Here is a 21,165-nt window from a genome sequence, read left to right as displayed (position 1 = left end):
GTATTCAAGCGAAGATACCCAGTTAACAAATCTCCACTGGGGAATGGGGGCTAGGTAGAGATTTCTTAGGTGTTTCTGCTTGCTGGCATAGTTTACTCTGGTTGCTTTTCAATACTCAACTGGTGCACGCCCTATGGTGTACTGGAGAATGCTCATCTTGATGGTCAGGGGCTGGGCAACATCTGTTGTTAAATATTTTGAATGTTACCTGTTACTGAACCTCTCTAACCTGCGTTAGCATATCAATAGATTTCTTGATTTGGTGATGATTCAATGACATATCACTGTGCCACCTGGGGTAGTTAGGATTTTAAAGCCAGCAAATAAATGTAATAACAATAATTGTAAAAAACAATAATGCTGCCAACTCAAAGTTTACTATGTTTGAGAAGCTGCTGTAAGCACTTTAAATATATTAACTCTTTCAGTTTTAGCAACCCTGTGATATAAATACTATTACAATTCCATTTTTTACACATCAGAAAACGGAGGCACAAGCTAAAAACATTACCTAAGGCCACACAGCAATGGTGATGTGAATTTGAAATAAATTGAGACTCATAAAGACTTCATGGCTTGGCCCAAGGAATTCAAAAACAAGGCCACTAAATTTGAAAATTATCACAAGGATGCTCATATAAATTTGGACCTATTTGGATGTAAATTCAGGTCCAAAACACTATGTTGGACAAAGGAATTGTAAACCCATTCAAATAATCTCCATGTCCTAGTCTAGGATGATTTTGTTTACAAGTCTTATTCACAAGATCTTTAGAAATATGTCCCAAGAGAGCATGTAATGGAATTGACTGTTACAAATATATTATTATAGCCATACTTAATTAGTAAGGAAAAGTAATATATGCATATTAAAGTGTATTTGGAAAGGAACTACCACTTACCTTCCAATTGCCACTTAGGAATATTTTAAACTATATTAAATAGTAGATAAACATGTACTTCCTTAAAAGAAGTTTATTTTATTCTCTTAGAGGGGAAGAATATCAAAGTCTGAAAGTGAACAAATAGGAAAAGTCTTGGGCTTGAATGTACTTTTATATTTCTGCAGTGTGAAAGTTTTGGGAAAATTTACTTCTGAAACAAGAGAATTCTGAAAGGGAATTTCTTTTATTAGGAATCTTAATCATAGTAAAAAACAAATTTGGGAAAGTGGCTATAATATTAGAATTAAAAGTGGCCCATTTTCTTTTCTTTTCTTTTTCCTTTTTTTTTTTTTTTTTTTTTTTTTTTTTTGCAGTTGCAAGATTTAATAGAGTGAAAACAGAGCTCCCAAAGGGGGTTGCTGTTGCTGGCTCGAATGCCTGGGTTTATATGCCGATCATTGTCCCTCCCACTGTGCTCTCAGGTGATAGATGATTGTCTATTTCTTTACCTCCTGTTTTAGCCTAATTAGCATTTTAGTAAGCTCTCTTTACTACCTCACTGGTTGGGTGTGAGCTAAGTTGCAAGCCCCATGCTTAAAGGTGGATGCAGTCACCTTCCCAGCTAGGCTTAGGGATTCTTAGTCGGCCTAGGAAATCCAGCTAGTCCTGTCTCTCAGTCCCCCCTCTCAACAGGAAAACCCAAGTGCTGTTGGGGAGGTTGGCCAATGACCGCTCTAACTGCTTCCTGCTGAATTGGGGCATAGTAGGGGTCATGCAGTTGAGATTTCCTCAGGAGGGGTGCCTTCGATGTCATCAACATTGGATGCACCAGCAAAAAGTGGCCCATTTTCTATGATAGGTTCTATCTCCAATTCTCTAGTTAATTCTTGTGGAAAAAATTCCAGATAATTTCCCATTCATACTTTCTAGAGTCATGTGAAGTCTCTAATTTTATGCAAGGCTCTCAATTAAATTCTCCAAGAAACTGTTAAATCATCAACAGCATTATAGAAACTGTTATGTACACACCATTTTATTCCTTTTGATTAAACAAATATGAGGACCTACTATGTGCAAGCCACTGTGTTGAGTGTAGGGAAAAGAAAGAGCGATCAGACTGTTACTGTGTCTATGTAGAAAGGGAAGACATAAGAAACTCCATTTTGACCTGTACCCTGAACAACTGCTTTGCCCTGGGATGCTGTTAATCTGTAACTTTGCCCCAACCTTGAGCTCACAGAAACATGTGTTGTATGGAATCAAGGTTTAAGGGATCTAGGGATGTGCAGAATATGCCTTGTTAACATAATGTTTACAGGCTGTATGCTTGGTAAAAGTCATTGCCATTCTCCAGTCTCAATAAACCAGGGGCACAATGCACTGTGGAAAGCCGCAGGGACCTCTGCCCTGGAAAGCTGGGTATTGTCCAAGGTTTTTCCCCATGTGATAGTCTGAAGTATGGCCTTGTGGGATGGGAAAGACCTGACCATCCCCCAGCCCGACACCTGTGAAGGGTCTGTGCTGAGGAGGATTAGTAAAAGAGGAAAGCCTCTTGCAGTTGAGATTGAGGAAGGCCTCTATCTCCTGCCTGCCCCTGGGAACTGAATGTCTCGGTATAAAACCCGATTGTACATTTGTTCAATTCTGAGATAGGAGAAAAACCGCCCTGTGGCGGGAGTCGAGACACGTTGGCAGCAATGCTGCTTTATTATTTTTTACTCCACTGAGATGTTTGGGTAGAGAAAAGCATAAATCTGGCCTATGTGCACATCCAGGCATAGTACCTTCCCTTAAACTTATTTGTGACACAGATTTCTTTGCTCACGTGTTTTCTTGCTGACCTTCTCCCCACTATCACCCTGCTCTCCTGCCGCATTCCTCTTGCTGAGATGGTGGAAATAGTAATTAATAAATACTGAGGGAACTCAGAGACCGGTGCCTGTGCAGGTCCTCCGTGTGCTGAGTGCTGGTCCCCTGGGCCCACTTTTCTTTCTCTATACTTTGTCTCTGTGTCTTATTTGTTTTCTCAGTCTCTCATCCCACCTGACAAGAAATACCCACAGGTGTGGAGGGGCTGGCCCCCTGCATTGAGCTTTGTGGAGAACATAAAAATGAATGAGATTTTGTACCTACTCTTAAGAGGTCTACATTCTACTGAGTTAGATAAGTATATAACTAATATTGATACAATATAGTTCATGATAACATTTAAGGTTTATAAACGAATTTATGAGAAGCAGGATAGTTACTACTCTATGGGGTGAATTGTAATGAAGAGAACAGAAATCAAGAAAGGTGAAAATATGCATGCACCACCCCCCTCACCTGTATTATCTGTTATAATTTCTGTCAATGTAATGTTTGCTCAGATAATTTGTGATGGAAGAAGGAAGGATGGGAGGGAGGGAAGGATGGAGTAAAGGTTCTAGTTAGGGCAAGAAAGATATTGAGAGTGACTCTGAAAAATGATCAGGATTTTCATATACAGAATAAAGAACAAAATGGATGTGACAGCGTGAGGGCAGAATGCTTTAGACCAGTGGCATTTGGGAAAGGACAAATAACTGAGTTGGGCTATAGCGTAAGGCACGTGCAGGGTCTAAGGAAGCACAAAAGGACCAGGAATATAATACAAAGTGCTTTGGGTTTTACATCTAGTCAGGGGCATGACTGGAGGTTTCTGTGTACTCATTTCATTGTAGTTCCTAGGTTAGGGTCAAGGTCATGAGGTGGACCAAGCAGCTAGCTCCAAACTGCCCTCCCTGTTGCCGTGGTTCCAATCCCTGCTCACCTTGCACAGGTTGCAGGGTTCCCATGACACCCTCTGCCTTCTCTAGACACACCTGCATCCTACCCACTCAGGCAAAGAAAGTCCTCTGCTCCAAATTCATGATACGGGAGGCAGCATGGTGGATAGAAAATGCATGGGCTTTGGGTTCAGACAGATTTGGCTTCCAAATTCTGGTTCTAGCTTTTGGGAAACTGATCCAGCTATTCAAACTTTCTGAGCCTCAGTTATCTGCAAAATTGGGATAATAACACTGATGACTTTTTAAAAGTAATAATGAGAGATTGCTTTACATCCATTGAACTGTCAAAAATCAGAAAGAACAAAAATAACAGTTGCTGATAGAAATATGAATTGCTATAGCCTATTGGGAAAGCAATTTGGCAACATCTATTAAAAACACATACTGCTGAAAGCAGAACTCACATTTCTGGAATCTTTCCATACAAATAAAAGCATCAGCATATAAGGATATGTGTGCAAAGATGTCTATTGCAGCATAGTCTATGTGGCAATAGAGTGGAAAAAAAGTGCTTGTTTATCATAGGAGAATGGTTGAATAAATTATGGTACAGCCAAACTATGGATTATCATGTGAGCTTTAAAATGGATTAATTAGATCTTTGCAAACTGACTGGCAGAGACTTCCACCAAGTTTGGCTGCCTGTAGCAGAGCAAGATTTAGCAAGGTATGTGGAATATAATACAATATTTGTAAAATAAACATATATATATTTAATAATGACTAAAAAAATTGAGCCTCCTACTGTGTACCAGGAACACCTTGAAAATGTTTAAATGGACTGAATGATTTTAATGCTAAATATTTTTTAGGTAGGTGCTATTAGTGTTCTTATTTTATGTATGAGGAAACTCAAGTTGAGGAGTAGAAAGACTAAATAATTTGCGAAAGATCACACAGCTTAGTCAGGGTAGGGTTGGAATCTGGGCCCAAGTAGTTGGAAGAAGAGATTAGACTCTTAGTCCATGTATTTTACTCTCTGAGTGATTGAATGGTGAGGAGTACATAAGCAACAAAAAGAGAAAAATTGCATTACAATCATACGTTTCACATAAAGCTGTGTATGTTCATATATTCAGAAAGAGATGCATGATAGATAGTCTCCAAAATGAGAATGGTAGTTGTCTCTGGGTGATGTGATTATATGTAATATTTTTTATTCTCTTCCATTATTTGAATTTTATACAATAAATATACTAATTAAACAACCAAAAAAATTAAAAAACTATTCATTGTAGAAAACACACAAATTTGCATGCATTCACATTTACTAGAATTTTCTTACAGAAATGATCATGATCATTTTACAAAGTTAAAAGGATGTTTCTGGTCAGTATGGAATTTAAAACTGAAACCACAGAAACAATTCAAAATTGAGACTGGATAAGAATATAAACATTTATTTACTGGAATACACAATTAAATGATGATAGACTATCAAAAGATGTTGGAAGAATTTTACAATGTACTGTTATATTTGAAAGACAGGTTCAAACTTTTATGCATTGCAGAATACCCTAAAAAAACCCCTTCCATATATGTATGAGGTTGCCTAGAAAAACATTGAGAGTTTATATATCAGTATATTACATATGCTTATTTCTGGGCACCAGGGTTATGAGTGATATTTTTCCTTCCTTCTTTTGCTTATTTTTTTTGTGTAATAAACACACATTACTTTTAAAATAAGAAAATATATGTAAGTAATACAAATGTTTTAACCTTTTCCCTCGTAAATCAATAAAATCCAGGAATTTGTCCTGAGGAACTGATCATAGATATGCACAAAGATTTATCCAAAATGTAGGCACTGCATTTTTCTATTATTTGTAATAGGAAGAAAACTATAAATAACTAAGTTATCTAACATTAGGGCACTGGCTATGTAAATTGTGGGATAACCAGATGATAAAATATTATGACACCAATAAAATCCATGCCTTTGAGGAACTTCTAAAGACATGGGCAAATATTCACAGTATTATTGTTAAATGAAGCAATAGAATAAAGACTTTTATTTTCCTACAGTTTAATCCTTAAAGGGAAAATGACTATATGCTTTTATTGTATATTTTTCACATTAAAAAATATTTTACAATAAAGATATATTATTCTTATAAGCAAAAATAATTTTTATATTAAAAATATGATAAATACTACCTTTTAAAGGGATTGTATAAGCTTATGTAGGTATTAGGTACGGCGGTTAACCATAATAAAATCATTTTCTTATCCTCACTTCCCACACACACACCCTTTTCCTCTCTCCTTCTCTGAGTCTCAGGTGACCCTTTTGAGAAATGAAGACTACATTGTTATAAATGTAAAGCATTGTGTACAGGAGACACTCAATGTATCTTAGTTCTTTCCCCTTCAGTATACTAGCAGAGGACAGCCACTTTCATTCTACACTTAAGGCTCCTAATATCCAAGAGGGATAACTCAGAGATACTCAAGCATATTCAGACACTCTACCAATGCAGATCCAGGGCACAGGACAGCCTTGTCCTCACTCTGATGAGTGATGGGGTGAGGACGCTTAGTGGGGGATGGTGAACACCAAGAATGGGAATAGGACAAAGAAAAATTAGCCTGGAGAGTCTCGAGAGGAATTCATTGGTGGCCTTGGTTTTGTTTCTCCTCAACAGTTCAGGCAAAGAACAGAAACAATGCCGTTTTCCAGAGCAATTTTGAGTCCACACCACTGGCCAAGCCTACAGTGCTCAGTGGTTGGAATAATTTGTGCTCTCATCTCTTGCACACTCCTGAATTCTCTTCCTTGTATGTAGTCTTTCTCTTTTGTTCACTTTGGCAAGGCTGACTCTTGGCTCTAGCTTTCCCCTTTTCCTACAGCAATTTTGACTTCTAAGAGGTCTGAAACTAGATCAAGAGTTAATAAATCCTTTGCCAGGTGACATCCCATTTCATAAATACCAAAAACAGCAATTGTATGACTTACATGGTGTTCCAAAGGAATACAAGCCTGGGTATGCACCTGAGTATTAATTGATTTTGTTTTTAATATTAATGAGCATATGATTTGGTCTAGTTGACCTTCAAATTTAAATTAGGTACTGATTAAATAATAAGGCAGGTGGATTAAGACGAGTTTAAACAGCACTTTATTTTCCCCCAGAAAGCTGCCTTAGCCTTGGCTCTAGGTGAAAATGAGCTATTGGAAGTGTTGAAAAAACTAGAACAGAGCATATTATTTATCTTAAAGAGGTTGACTATATCTTAAATAGTAATAATAATAACTTTGTAAAAGTTTCATCTGGAGTACTTGACATTCCTGTGTTTATATGCCCATTTAATGTGATTGCTTGTATATTTGTTAACTTAAATAGCCTTAATACTTGTACTCCTAAATTTGTTTTTAAGGATTTAAAGTGCAAACTACCATTAAATCAACAGAGTATTTTTAACCAGTAGAGAAAGAAGTCCTCAATAGATAAGTACACATCCTATTTCACAAATAACCTCAAAATGCCTACCAACCCACAAATCTTTTCCCAGGCCAGCTTTACCTTGGAGTTAATTTCAATTCAATCCTGGTTGCCAAATCTTTGGCATGCATTCCGGATGAATTATTCATCAGCATTCTTCCTGCTAGTATCTCATGCTCCCAGCTCAACTCCTGCCCACCCTATGGCTTTAATGGCTCATTGGGAACAGGTGTCATCAGTGTGTAGCTCACAATCTAGCTCTTGATCCATGAGCCAGTCAGTTGCATCTCCTTCTGTTGGCAGCTGGCACAGTTAGCAAGTACATGGGGGTAAGCAGGCAGCAAACATGGGTTCCTGGTTCCCAGTGGAAAATATGTCTAGAACATTAAAACAAAACTGCTGGCAAAGAGGACACCTGCACTACAATACTTCCTTTTGAAATTCTTCAACTTTCCCATGACTGTTCGAATTTTTTAAATATCTGGTCTCCAAAGTGACATTAGCCATCTTATTTTTTATTTGTTTGTTTTCAATACTTTCACCCTAGAAGATGCTAATTTCCTGTGGAAACCAAGGTTGTAACAAATGTAAAGCCAGCCCACTAACAAGCAAAGCTGGAAATAACTGAATGAGCCTCAAAATCCTTGGGAGTTTTATTAGAAAGAGAAAAAAAGACCTGTCCATAATATCAGTGATTCTAAAGCCCAAGAAGATGCTTGGTCAGGATCAAAGTCTGAAAACGAACTCAAGAGAGCAAGGGCTTCTTCAGGACATTTGATCAGCAAAAATGTTCTGCCACTTAAATTGGAGAGTGTAATGAGCATTTCTATAAGCAATCTTATAACTGCAGAGCTCTAAAATAGCCCAGATGTCACTGAGAAGAGATATTTCTGCATGAAAGCTAATAATGGAGAATGTTTGAAATGAATCCTCCACGCATATGACTGCCTTTTAACCTTATCTTGACCTCAATCTTGAAGGATTTCAACGGATTTTTTTTTTCTAAGCTAGGTATCTATCAGTCAAGATGATAGTTCCATAAGCATTAGACACTTGTTCTAAGCTGGTCTAAGCTCTGAACTGATAATCAATTAAAAACAGTGGTTTTCTATACATGCTATTTCAGAAGAAAAAGGCAAAAATCATACCCTAGGCATTCTGTTTTTAATTGAAAGAAGCTTGCATACTAGTGTGGATTTCAAAACATTTCTATTTTCCCTAAGTAAATAGGTTAATAGATATTAATGGCTTATTTCAGTAATACTCATAAAACTTCACATTTAGTCTTACATAGGAACTGCATTTGTGATACATGACAGAACTCCTTCATGGAGTTACCATCATTAAAAGTTTTATGTTAAAAAAAATCCTAAAAGTATTCCAAAACATGGATCCTGGCATAAGCAATTAATGGTGTGAGTTCCTAAAAGCATCAAGAAACATCACAAACAGTGTGCTTCTGTGAAGGTGTGATATCTCCAAATTAAACAACTCAACAGGAAAAATCCCAGCCTGAAACATGGTCACATTCAAATTAAATTATCCCTCTTTCATGTTTCTTAAACTCTGCCACTCAACTTCATGACACTTTAAAATTTTTATCACAAACTAAATGATTGGTATGTCCAAAATTTTTGCTTAAGGTGAACACCACTTTCTGTCTTTTCGCTCTGATCACATTTGATCACATTTATTTGTCTCTCTAAGATGACCTAGGGTTTCCTATCAGAGCCTATGTGGGTATTTGACATCAGTTATATTTTTAGATACACTATGTCTTAAAAAACAGTTAATGTACTCTAACTGAAAAATACTTTTTCACTAAAATATGCTAATCATCATCTGAGCCTTCAGCAACTTGTAATCTTTCTCCTGGTTAGGGTCTTGCCTCAATGTTGATAGCCACTACTGGCCATTCAATGTTGACGGCCACCACTTGGTTGCTCAAGGTTGAGGTAGCTGTGGTAATTTATTAAAATAAGACAGTGATGAAGTTTGCCACAATAATTGTCTCTTCCTTTCACAGAAGATTTCTCTGTGGCATGCAATGCTGTTTGATGGCATTTTACCCACAGTAGAAATTATCTTAAAATTGAACTCAGGCCAGGCGCAGTGGTGCTTGCCTGTAATCCCAGCACTTTGGGAGGCCAAGGCGGGTGGATCACCTGAGGTCAGGATTTCGCAACCAGCCTGAATAACATGGTGAAACCCCGTCTCTACTTAAAAAAAAAAAAAAAGAAGAGCCAGGTGTGGTGGTGCATGCATGTAATCTGAGCTACCTGGGAGGCTGAGACAGAATTGCTTACACCTGGGAGGCGGAGGTTGCAGTGAGCCAAGATCGCACCATTGCACTCCAGCCTGGGCAACAAGAGTGAAACTCCATCTCAAAAACAAACAAAAAATTGAACTCAATACTCTCAAACCTGCTGTCTTCACCAGGAGCAGATTCCATCTCAAGAAACCACTTTTTTTTCTTAATAAATAAGATGCAACTTCTCATTTGTTCAAGTTCCTCATGAGATTACAGTTCAGTTACATCTTCAGTCTCCACTTCTAGTTCTCTTGACATTTCTACCACATCTTTAGTTACTTCCTCCAGTGAAGTCTTGAACCACTCACAGTCATCCATGAGGGTTGGAATCACCTTCTTTCAAACCCTTGTTAACGTTGATATTTTGGCCTTCTCTCAGGAATATTCTTAATGTCATCTAGAATAGTAAACCCTTTCCATATTTTCAGTTTATTTTGCCCAGCTTCATTACAGGATGACATCACTATCTATGGCAGTTACAGTCTTAGAAAATATATTTCTTAAATAGAAAGACTTGAAAATCAAAATTACTCCCTGATACATTGGCTGCACACTAGATGTGTTAGCAGGCATGAAAACAACATTATGTTCCTTGTACATCTTTGTCGGAACTCTCGGAAGACCAGGTGCATTGTCAATATGCAGTAATATTTTGAATCATTTTTTTTGAGCAGTAGGTCTCAACAGTGGGCTTAAAATATTCAGTAAACAATGCTATAAAGAGACATGCTATAATACAGACTTTGTTGTGCCATTTACAGAGCACAGGTGGGGTAGACTTCGCCTAATTGTTAAGAGCACTAGGATTCTTGGAATAGTAAATGAGCATTGTCTTCAACTTAAAGTTGCCAGCTGCATTAGCCCCTAACAAGAGAGCCAGCCTGTCCTTTGAAGCCAGGCATTGACTTCTCCTCTCTAGCTATGAAAATGCTAAATGGCCTCATCATCCAATAGAAGGCTGTTTTGTCTACATTGAAAATCTGTTGCTTAGTGTAGCCACCTTGATCAGTGATTTTAGCTAGATCTTCTTGATAACTTGCTGCAGCTTTTACATCAGTACTTGCTGCTTCACCTTGCACATTAATGTAATGGAAACAGCTTGTTTCCTTAAACCTCATGAATCAGCCTCTGCTAACGTCCAACTTTCCTTTTGCAGCTTTCTCACTTCTCTCAGCATTAGTAGAATTGAAGAGGGCTAGTACCTTGCTCTGGACTAGGCTCTGGCTTAAGGGAATGTTATGGCTGGTTTGATCTTCTGTCCAGACCATTAAAACTTTCTCCTTATCAGCAATAAGGCTGTTTCAGTTTCTTATCATTCATGTGTCCACTGGAGTAGCACTTTTAATTTCCTTCAAGAACATTTCCTTTGCATTCACAACTAGGCACAAGAGGCCTAGATTTCAGCCTATCTCAGATTTCAACATACCTACCTTCCTCATTAAGCTTAAACATAGCTAGCTTTTGATTTAAAGTGTGATTTAGTATGCAACTCTTCCTATCACATGAACACATAGAGGCCATTGTAGGTCTATTAATTGGCCTAATTTCAATATTGTTGTGTTTTAGGGATAGGGAGGCCCGAGAAAAGGGGACAGACAGGGGAATAGTGGGTCAGTGGAGTAGTCAGAACCACATTTACTAAATAAGTCCACTATCTTATATGGGCACAGTACATAGCACCCCAAAACAATTATAATAGTAACACCAAAGATCACTGATCACTGATCACCATTACAGACAGAATAATAGTAAAAAGGTTTGAAATATTGTGAGAATTATCAAAGTGTGACACAGGGACATGAAATGAGCACATGCTGTTGGAAAGATGGTGCCGACAGACTTGCTTGATGCAGGGTTCCCACAAAACTTCAATTTGTAAAAAATGTAATATTTTCAAAGCACAGTAAAATGAAGGGCAAGAAAACAAGGTAAGCCTATATTACTTTTCCATCTGGGGACTTGCCAATGAACCAGGAGAGAGAGAAGAAAAAGCACTATTTTGTTTTCCTTTAGATATATATTTTTTTAATTGTAGCATCCCCAGATCAATGTCTCCCTACTTCTTCCTTCCTCAAACTGTCTCCTAGAAAAGTAAATTGTTTTTTTTTTTTTACTTTTTCTGGAAATACTTGGGTCAGAAACATTTTCTCATAGTAACTTCTGACAGAATGGAGAATGATGCTCTTGCCAAAGATTCATTTCTAAGGATGCCTTTCAAACATTTCTTTTTTGAAAAATGGTGCTCCCTGGTTGGTGGTCCTCAAATGCCACTCTTTCAAACCTTTTCCTGATGAGTGGCTGTAAAGAGCAGAACTGATTAATTCTGGTGTTTTAAATAAACATCTCTAAACATAATTTCTCTGATCATTCTCTCATTTCATAAACAGTTATTTTCCAAAGGAACAAATGTAAATGTTATATATACATATATACACACATATATATATATATATATAAATTTTCTATACAGGCTAGGTATGCAATAAAAGAGAGTAGGTGGTGTAGTCAATTATATTGGAAACAGAGACACTTAAGAAAACCTAGTTATATTTGACTTGCTGCTTCATTTTTCCATGTAAACAAGCCCAAACAGTCTCTTTTAAGAGTCTGCAATTATTAGATATAGTTAGTAGCCTCATACCTTCATCTTTACAGTCTTCAACTGCCTCTTCTGAAGCAGGGCCGGGCACAGTGACAGTGTTGACACCATCTATAAAGCAGAAAAGAAACACTGCCTCAGAGTTCATCCTTCCGGAAGTCCAGCTGTGGCTTTCCTGCCCTGCACCTCCCTCCACTCTCCACCAAAGAAAGCATGAGCCTGCCGCATGCTTGAATACACTGAATGCTCTTTGAAGGGGCTAGTGGTTTGGGACTCTCTTTTATAATTAGTGAAACAGGAACCTTCAGTTAAGTCAGAGACCAATGGGCTACAATCTATTTCTTAGTGAAGAATGCCACTTGTTGCTAGTAGTATCCTTTGGCATTTTGTTTCTTCCTCATCCCTCAAAGGATGGTATATTATTTTTCTTGATAACAGATTGTGAAAGAAAGTATATCCTTGCAAGTTCCTACAAAGTGCTTTTATGTGCATGTTTCTAAAGTTTGTTTTTTTCTTAGCACAGCACTTCTGCTCCATTATGCCAGGCTGTCAAACTGCAGGGAGCAGCTCTGATGGCTGTCAGCACAGAGGCCTGGAAGAAGGGGAGCATTCGGCACAGGTCACCAGAAGCCACCAGGAACTTTCATGTCACCCAAGAACAGAATGGGAAAATGGGGACTAAGGACATGGAACTCTCTGTTCCCCTCACAGCAACAATGAACTACATTAGAGTAGACCTTTCTCTCCTCAGTGTCATCAGCCCCTAGTGACTCTAGTCATGTTTGGCCTCCACGATAACAGCTAACTAGCCTACTCCCTCCCATTCAAACAGTAAATCTAGACAGGCAGGATTACTAAAATCATTTGCAATGTTTAATACCTGATAACTGGAAAATGAATATATATATATATATACACACATATACACATTATGGACAAAAGATGGGCTAGAAAATATGTGATTTGTGATTTGATTCCAAATGTGTGTCAGTTTTCATGCATATATGAGTTATCTTTAGTTCTATGACCCTGTTACTATAGAAAAAAGTATTTATAGTGTGCACATGTGTATATATAGAGTATATATATAGTTCATATGTATAAATATACTATATATAAATTATAGAGTATATATAGTATACATATACATATATAGTATATATATAGTTTTTCATATAGTAGCAGAAAATATGTATAGCTATATACTTATATATAATAGCGATATATAGTTACGTACATAGTTATATATACATATTCCGATACTACATGAAAAACTATATATATACACACACACATTACATATGTGTGTATATATATACACACACATTACATATGCATATATATACTACATGGACTCTATAGTTTATATATAGTATATTTATACATATATGGTATATTTATACATATAAACTATATATATAGTACATATGCACACATACATATTCATAGTTTTTTATGTAGTAGCAGGGTCGGGGAACTAAAGATAACTCATATATGCATGAAAACTAACACATATTTGGAAGCAAATCACAAATCACTTATTTTCTAGCCTATCTTTTGTCCATGATGCATGTACTATTACTTGCAGGTCAGGTGTCCTTTGGAACAGAATTCTCTGTCACTATCTCATCATTTAGATCTCATTTTAACTATCACTTCCTCAGAGAGTCCGTCCCAAACCCAGACAATGGAAATTTGCCTTCTGGGCATTCCTTCTATGTTTCCTTATTTCTCAGCAAAGCATTTATCACTATTGATGTTATCATTTTTATTTGTTTATTGTTTGGAACCCCCACCAGAATATAAATTTCAAAGAAACAGAGATGTTGTTTTTATTGGTTGTTGGTTTATTCTTCAGTGCCTGGAATGGTGCCTATGACACAATGAACCCTTGATATGTATTTGTTAAATTTTTTGGAAGAATATTATCTACAACTTTGATCTGATTTGATCATGACAACAGTCAAAACTGCTGGATTACAGTGTTTTAAGATTGTGTTTTTTCATGACGTGTAAGAGGCCTGCAGAGCTATATAATCAAAATTGAAGCTGGAAATTATATTGAATGAAAAGAAGATACTTTTATTTTGGAAAAATACCAGCAGGTCAAAAGAGCTTTAACGACCCATAACCACATCTTCGATTTCTCTGAGCTCTGATTAGGGAGGATAAGAAATGAGCAGTGTGAACGTAACTATGTGTGTTGACACTGGCCAGGATTATAGGTGGACTCTGCCATTGGCCTCTGTGCCGGCCGGCGAGCTCACTTGGAAAAGTAAGGGGAGTCACTCAGGGATGCATTTAGGACCCTTCTTCACATTGAGAAGTGCCCCTATTGTGGTGATAACGCTATCAGATTCAAGGGCTGGAGAAGAGGGCTGACATTCTACCACTCCCTCCTCACAGGCAAAAGGATCTCAAATCTACAAACTACTTGTTCTCAACTGGTTAAAGGGAAAAGATGAATAAATCAAACACAGGCAAATGTGAGTGCATGCATACATGTGTATGTGAGTGCATGCATACGTGTGTGTGAGTGTGCGTGTGTACATGTATGTACAGGGATGGAAACAATCTTTTTCGATAAGGACACTTTGGGCCTGGGTGTGGTGGCTCGTGCCTGTAATCACAGCACTTTGGGAGGCTTAGGCGGGCAGATCACTTGAGATCAGGAATTCGAGACCAACATGGTGAAACCCTGTCTCTACTAAAAATAAAAAAATTATCCAGGCATGGTGGTGCGTGCCTGTAGTCCCAGCTACTTGGGAGGCTGAGGCACGAAAATCTCTTGAACACAGGAGGCAGAGGTTGCAGTGAACCGAGATTGCACCACTGCACTCCAGCCTGGGTGACAGAGCAAGACTCCATCTCAAAAAAACAAAACAAAACAAAACAAAAAACAAAAAACAAACAAAAAAAACAGTTTGGGACACGATAGTGAGTGAATAAAACCTTTGAAACCTCAACAGTCACAGAATGGCCTCAGCTGTCAGCAGTTTGTTGACTAATACTTGTCAGCCCCAAACAATAAAAACAGTGACAGCTTTTCACTCATCTGCTATGGAGCAGAATGTGTGGGTTGGGGGTGGGGGAGGGTTGGATAACAACAGTTTTCTGCATCAGAAATTCATTTCATTGCAAGGACTATCTTGCAGCAAAGGACGCCGGCCGACCCAGTCACAGGTACACAAAGTCCTTGCTGCCTTGCTTCAGTGCTTTCTCTGATTGGCCTTCTTCAGTTCCGTCTTCCAGGTTAATAATAAAAGCTTCCAGATCCCTAGCAAAATCTCCAAGGTTAATGTAAGAAGTTTACAGTGAAAAACTTATCACACTACCTGGTTTAATTCCAAGAGTTCAGCATATGGCCTAGGATGTGCTTGGCAAACAGTAGGGCTCACTACTTCAGAAGTGCCCCTCCATGGGGCTTATTAGAGTTGGGAGAATAACTGGGAAACTAAAGGGAACAGGGATTTTTATTTTTATTTTTTTGCTGGTTATGTTGGTGAGTGAATGATTGTGCCTATCATTCTTTTAAAGGAGAGCATGACTGAGTACAAAAATGGATAGGAAGAGATAATAAATCACAGGTGACTTCAATCCCTTTTGAGCCTTAAGTGCTATTTTATTTTAAAATGTTCAATTTATAATCTACGGTGTGGAATATATAAACTTTCAATGGACACATCTGTCCTTTAGTGAACAGAGGGGATGTCAGGAAGGGTTTAGATCTTACTTCGAGCTCTGTGTGTGGGGTAGTCAGGCCCATCACACCATCTCCTGCAATATGCAGAGAAATAACCTGAAGCATAGCTCTTCAAAATTTAATGCAATACACTAAAGAACATTCTACTCACTGTGCAGGCCAAGCCTCTTCTTCATTTCCTTTCATCAGTTTTTATTTCATTTTTTCCCTCAAGCTAAATGTACTAATTTGAGCTTGACCTAACTCAGCCAAGCTCTGCCTTGGCACTTTCAACCTCCGCCCGTCCCTCTTAGAGCTTTGCCAGGCAAACTGTTACAGGGCAGAAAATTGAATTGGTGAATGAGATGTGAGAATGTGCCACTCTGTTTGAAAGCACTCAACTCATAGTTATCGGAGATGGTGGCTTCCTGAGGGAGACCCTGAATGAACACTGGAGTTCATCTGGTGAAATGTATAAGCATTTTCAGACAATAGCATTGAGTGAAGTTACTGTTCACCTCTGCAGATGAGGCCTAGGTGACTTCTCAAAAGAAATCTGAGCCTACCTGCATCTTGGCTCTGCTCTTCCATTTCTTCCACACTTTGCTTCTCCTCTGGACCGTTCTCATCTTTCAAGAAAACCACAGAGGAAAAAAAATGCATCAAGTCAATTTGTGAAATATCTCTTTACGGCTAATATGCAGCACTGAAATTAATTGTAACCAATGTAGCATGACTCCCCATAAAGCCAGGCAGAGAGATGAATCAGAGGCATGAAACAGAAAAATTACCTACATAAATAAGTGCATTTATACTCATCCCTTCTCACATGATTTGCTAGATGAAATGTTTAACCGCAGTAAACAAAATTCACTCAGCAGTCCCGGTAACAAGTCTCTCCTTGCTCGGCATTTCCCAAAATATAATAGAAACTTCAACTCCAGTCCACTTTTCTCCCTTGACTTAAGTAACATGCACTGTGTAAGGAAGGTTGGCTAAGTTTCTCGCCCTTTATTTCTCTGTATGATATATGCTGCAAAAAAAAGGTCAATTTTCACTTAACTTCCATATGGCAGTCTAACATACCTATGCTATAAAATATTTTGTCTTGAACAGATTATGTTGGTTGAGTTTATGCTATCATATATAGCTATCTGAAAAATAACTGGTCAGGTGCAATGAAGGCTGTATATTAGCAACTATCTGAAACTTTCTTTTTTCTTAAAATAGCTACTATATCTGTGGATTTATCTGTAGAAATAATAAGCTTTTTGAAGGTTAAGTATAGGCATGGTTTTATAACTCATTGCTGGGAGGGTCTCCAAATTGCTTTTGGTTTGGAAAATGAAGCAAATAAAAATGATGAATTTATACAAAGACATAAGAATAAAGTATAAAACATATAGTGAAGTACAGAAAACAGAAGCAGAAGTTACCAACCTATATTCATGTGGGTTAAAGATGGCCACAAATGCTTTGTCTCTGAAGGAGTGGAGCCCATTCCTTCTCTTTAAGTCCTGACTGGCTGTGAAACTTCTTTAGACCAATGAAATATGGTGGAAGTGATATTCTGGGACCTACAAGCTACCCTGCAAGACCTGGCAGCCTCTACTTTCTCCCCCTGGGAAGCCAATCCCCATGCTGTAAAGAAGTTGAAGCTGGCCTGCCAAATGGAGGGAGACACATGGAGAGAGGGAGAAAAGATGTGTGGGGAGCATGAAGGGCCAGACCTGTGAGCCAAGCCTTCTTGAACCTTTCCACCCTGCCAGCTGCCAACCAAATGCAGCTGAGCGGTGACCTCAGCCAGTGTCACAAGGAGCAGAAGAGACATCCAGCTGAGCCCTTTAAAAATTCCTGACCCACAAGCAGGACTGAATCACTTAACGTTGTCTTGCTTGAGTGCTTTGACCCGCCATCTCCTCCTCCTACCAACTCTTAATTCCGAGGCAAGAGAATCCTCCCAAGAGGAGGCCACTAGTAGCAGAGCTGAAACAAAAGCCTCAGAAGCAGTGGGGAAGCATTTTACCTGCAGCTCTGGAAAACGACCTACTGAAGAAAGTTTCAGATGGGGAAACATTTAGATTTGACCTAAATGGGGAAAAAAAGTTTATAATAGAAGGACAAAAAAAGAAAAAAGAATGATACTCTGAGGTTGGCGAAGAATGCAGTTAATAAATATACGTACAGGACCCCCTGTGTTGGGTTAGCCCTGTGCCGTTTGTGACGGTGGACACAATATAACTACTTTTTTTTTTTTTAATAGACACAGAGCCTTGCTGTGTTGTCCAGCCTGGAGTGCAGTGGCATGTTCATAGCTCACTGCAGCCTTTAACTCCTGGACTCAAGCGATCCTCCCACCTCAGCCTCCTGAGTAGCAGGGTCTACAAGGCACATGCCACCAAGCCTGACTGATTTTTTATTTTTTTGGAGAGAAAGGGTCTTGCTTTGTTGCCTAGGCTGGTTTTGAACTCCTGGCCTAAAGCAATCCTCCCACCTTAGCCTCCCAAACTGCTGGGATTACAGGCATAAGACACCACACCTGGCCTGAATATAATATGAGAACCTGGGGTGGCTCTGCATGCCACTTAAATTCAGTGTTCTAAATGGCATATTTACAAGTACTACATGATTATCTGATATTTTCCCTGTTCTGGTTCTCCATGAAGGAAACAGCATTGGCCTTTGCTCTAGGGAGGAAATAGTCACTTCTGCTGTTCTTGCTGTCTTAACAAGGCCAAGTTGGTGCAGGAGCATGTGCCAAAAACTTAGCCAATATCTGTCCCTTTCCTCCCACCAAATGGACTCTGAGTCAAGCAGGAAAAATCTGCCAGCTTCTCTGTCTCCCTCAAAAGACAGACCTTTTAACACATTTCACAATAGCCATGAAGTTTGCAGGTGACAAGCTTCCTTTGAAAGTACTCTGGTTACCACATCTTCTACAGAGTAGGGGTAGGGAGATTACTTATGAAGTGAGGAAGATAAGAAGGGAAAGAAAAACAGCAGTTAAATTACAGAAAGGTGAGGAATTGGTTCTAATAGTTGTAAATGCATAAGAAGGAAATCCATGGTCAGACCCTGAAATCCAGCTTTCTAATAGTAACAACCAGTCTGGCAGTTTACCTAGTCTACTGCTTCTGGGTTTTTACCCTTAGTTCCTTGTGTGCTACCCCCCTCCCTAGAACAGACATCTGAGTGGCATGCTTTTGTTTTCTCTTTGAGTCTCAGCGGCACTGTTTTCTATTTGCAGTATTTCTGCCCTGGGGAAGCAAACTCAAGAAACACTTGGCACATTTATCACAGAGCAAATGCTTTCTAGAAGAATGCTGGATTTGCCATTCCAGTAACATGTCCTCAGATAAAACGGTCCAGGTATATTGCTTTCATCAATTTCCAAGACAGTGCATCCTCAAATCCAGCAGGGGGAACCAATGTAGAAGGCTTATTTTCCAAGCCCAGCATATGCATTCTTGGGCAATTAGATTAGTATTCATTTCATTCTTTTAGAAGGACATTTTGGCTGGCTTATAACTTTCCATCCATTTTAAATGCTGCAAATGGGTGAGTTCTTAGTGAAATAGGGGGCTTCCACTGGTAGAAAAAGCAAGGCACATTAACACAGTTACCCGTAAGTCTTTGATAAGGACAAGCTTTCTTTTTTATCAGCCTTGTCTGTCTAGCTATCGTCACAGGAAGCACATAAACAATGAAAAATTAAGTAGAGGGATGTGTAAACTTGAGGTTTCCAGAAGGGATTTTAAAAGCCTTACAATAACGGTGAAGAAATATAGGGAAGTGCGAGGCTATTTTGTTAGCTTAAATAATGCCACATAGAAGCTAAATGTTCTCAGTTAATATTCCTTTAAGATCACATATTTATTTCAGATGATAAATTTCCATAGCATTCATGTCGAGTGTGATATAACACTTTACTTTCCCATGCTGAAAAAGCACAGAAACCTGTGAGAATTCTACTGGTTGTGTCCTTCTAATTTCTCCCATATTAGTACTCTGCCTCCTACTCTTTCAACCAATATTTATCAAATGTGTACTGTTTGCAAGAACATTTCAGAAATTTTATAGAAATAAAATAAGAGGCTCCTGCTGCAACGTGACTATGATAAGAAAGCAGTCCATGTTTGACTCTACATGGGAGAGTTTTGTAAGGGCAAAATCTCAACAACATGATCACGGATTGCTATCCTGATATTTGTAGTTCCTTTTGTGAACGCTACATGGTGACAGGAAGATAAACAAGACGTAAGTCTAAATAAATCCATCGCTATACTGGGGAAACAATCTGATGTGTACTTCCTGCTGGTATACTGCTGTCTTTTCTTCTAAAGGTCTATAGATTTCTGGGCACAGACAGACTACGGACAATTCAAAACCAGTGCTTTGCAGATTAGATTATTGGTCTTAATTCTTCAGTCCCCTATAATAAGATTGTGTGTATATGTGTATATATATATATATAAAATCAGTGTCCTCCCACTGTGAGCAGAGAATATTTCCATGCCATTGATGTTGGACTTGACCATGGGACTTAATTTAGCTAATGAAATGCTAGTGGAGAGAATGTGAGCAAAGGATTTACATGCACTGCATAAAAGGATTTGTTGCTTGTGTTCCTGACATTTGCCATGACAAGAAGATGCCCCTGTAGCTCTTGGCTTAAGGAGGATGAGAGATACATGGAGCAAGTTTGAACCCAAGTCACAGTCTGGAACCAAGCCCAAGCAACTCACAGCTTGCAGTAGAACCACCCCACTGAGCCCAGCCTACATCAGCTGAACCATAGTCATCTTACAGACCTGTGAGCATGAGAATAAATATTTTTGTTGTAGGGGACTGCATTTTGGGGTGATTTATTGCACAGCATTATTATGGCAATAGCTGATTAATACACATGTTTATTTTTGTCAGCTCAGGAAGGCTTTAAGTTAACTTTAAAAAAAATTAGCACTCTTTTATAAAAAAATCTAGTCTTTAATTTTGTATTTCCCCATCTATATTTTCATCTCATATGTTCCAAAATTCTCTAGAAGGTACATATTTGAAAAGTAAAATTAGCTGATATAACAGAGGAATGCTCTTAAAGAGTCTGCACTGCCATCAATATAATGATGTTTATGGTTTATTTAACTATAGAGCTCTATGAGCAACAGAATATTAGCTAATACCAGCTAACACTTATTGAATATTGCATATGTTCCACTCAGTGTCTAAATGCTTTGCAAAGGTTATCAAACTTCATTCTCATAAAAACTGCATGAGGCAGGTTTTATTATCTGCATTTCATGGATGAGACAACTGAGACACAGGCGTGTTAAGATTCCACAGCTAGCAAGTGATGGCAGCAGGGGACAGTTTCAACCCAGCCTTAGCTGATGTTGGGGCCTACTACTGCCTACTTAGAAATGTAACTATTTATTG

General features: G+C 38.4%; 1 protein-coding gene and 1 long non-coding RNA gene across 9 annotated transcripts in view; one reads left to right on the top strand and one right to left on the bottom strand.

The window, feature by feature from the left end:
* MACROD2 (mono-ADP ribosylhydrolase 2) overlaps positions 1–21,165 on the bottom strand; it is a 2,057,682-nt gene that overhangs the window by 103,561 nt on the left and 1,932,956 nt on the right. For all 8 annotated transcript variants that reach the window (NM_001351661.2, NM_001351663.2, NM_080676.6 and 5 more), the window contains 2 exons: positions 16,299–16,361; positions 12,093–12,161 (listed from right to left, as the gene is read on the bottom strand). In NM_001351661.2, the coding sequence (NP_001338590.1) occupies positions 12,093–12,161; positions 16,299–16,361 (132 nt within the window). The remainder of the gene's footprint in view (positions 1–12,092; positions 12,162–16,298; positions 16,362–21,165) is intronic.
* Positions 1–21,165, top strand: part of LOC613266 (uncharacterized) — a 93,550-nt gene that overhangs the window by 36,246 nt on the left and 36,139 nt on the right. The gene's annotated exons all lie outside the window — the stretch shown is intronic.

This window comes from Homo sapiens, chromosome 20 (assembly GCF_000001405.40).
Source record: "Homo sapiens chromosome 20, GRCh38.p14 Primary Assembly".
Lineage (NCBI taxonomy): Eukaryota > Metazoa > Chordata > Mammalia > Primates > Hominidae > Homo > Homo sapiens.
Note: the sequence above shows the minus strand (reverse complement) of the source record. Positions and strands in the feature narration are given on the sequence as shown.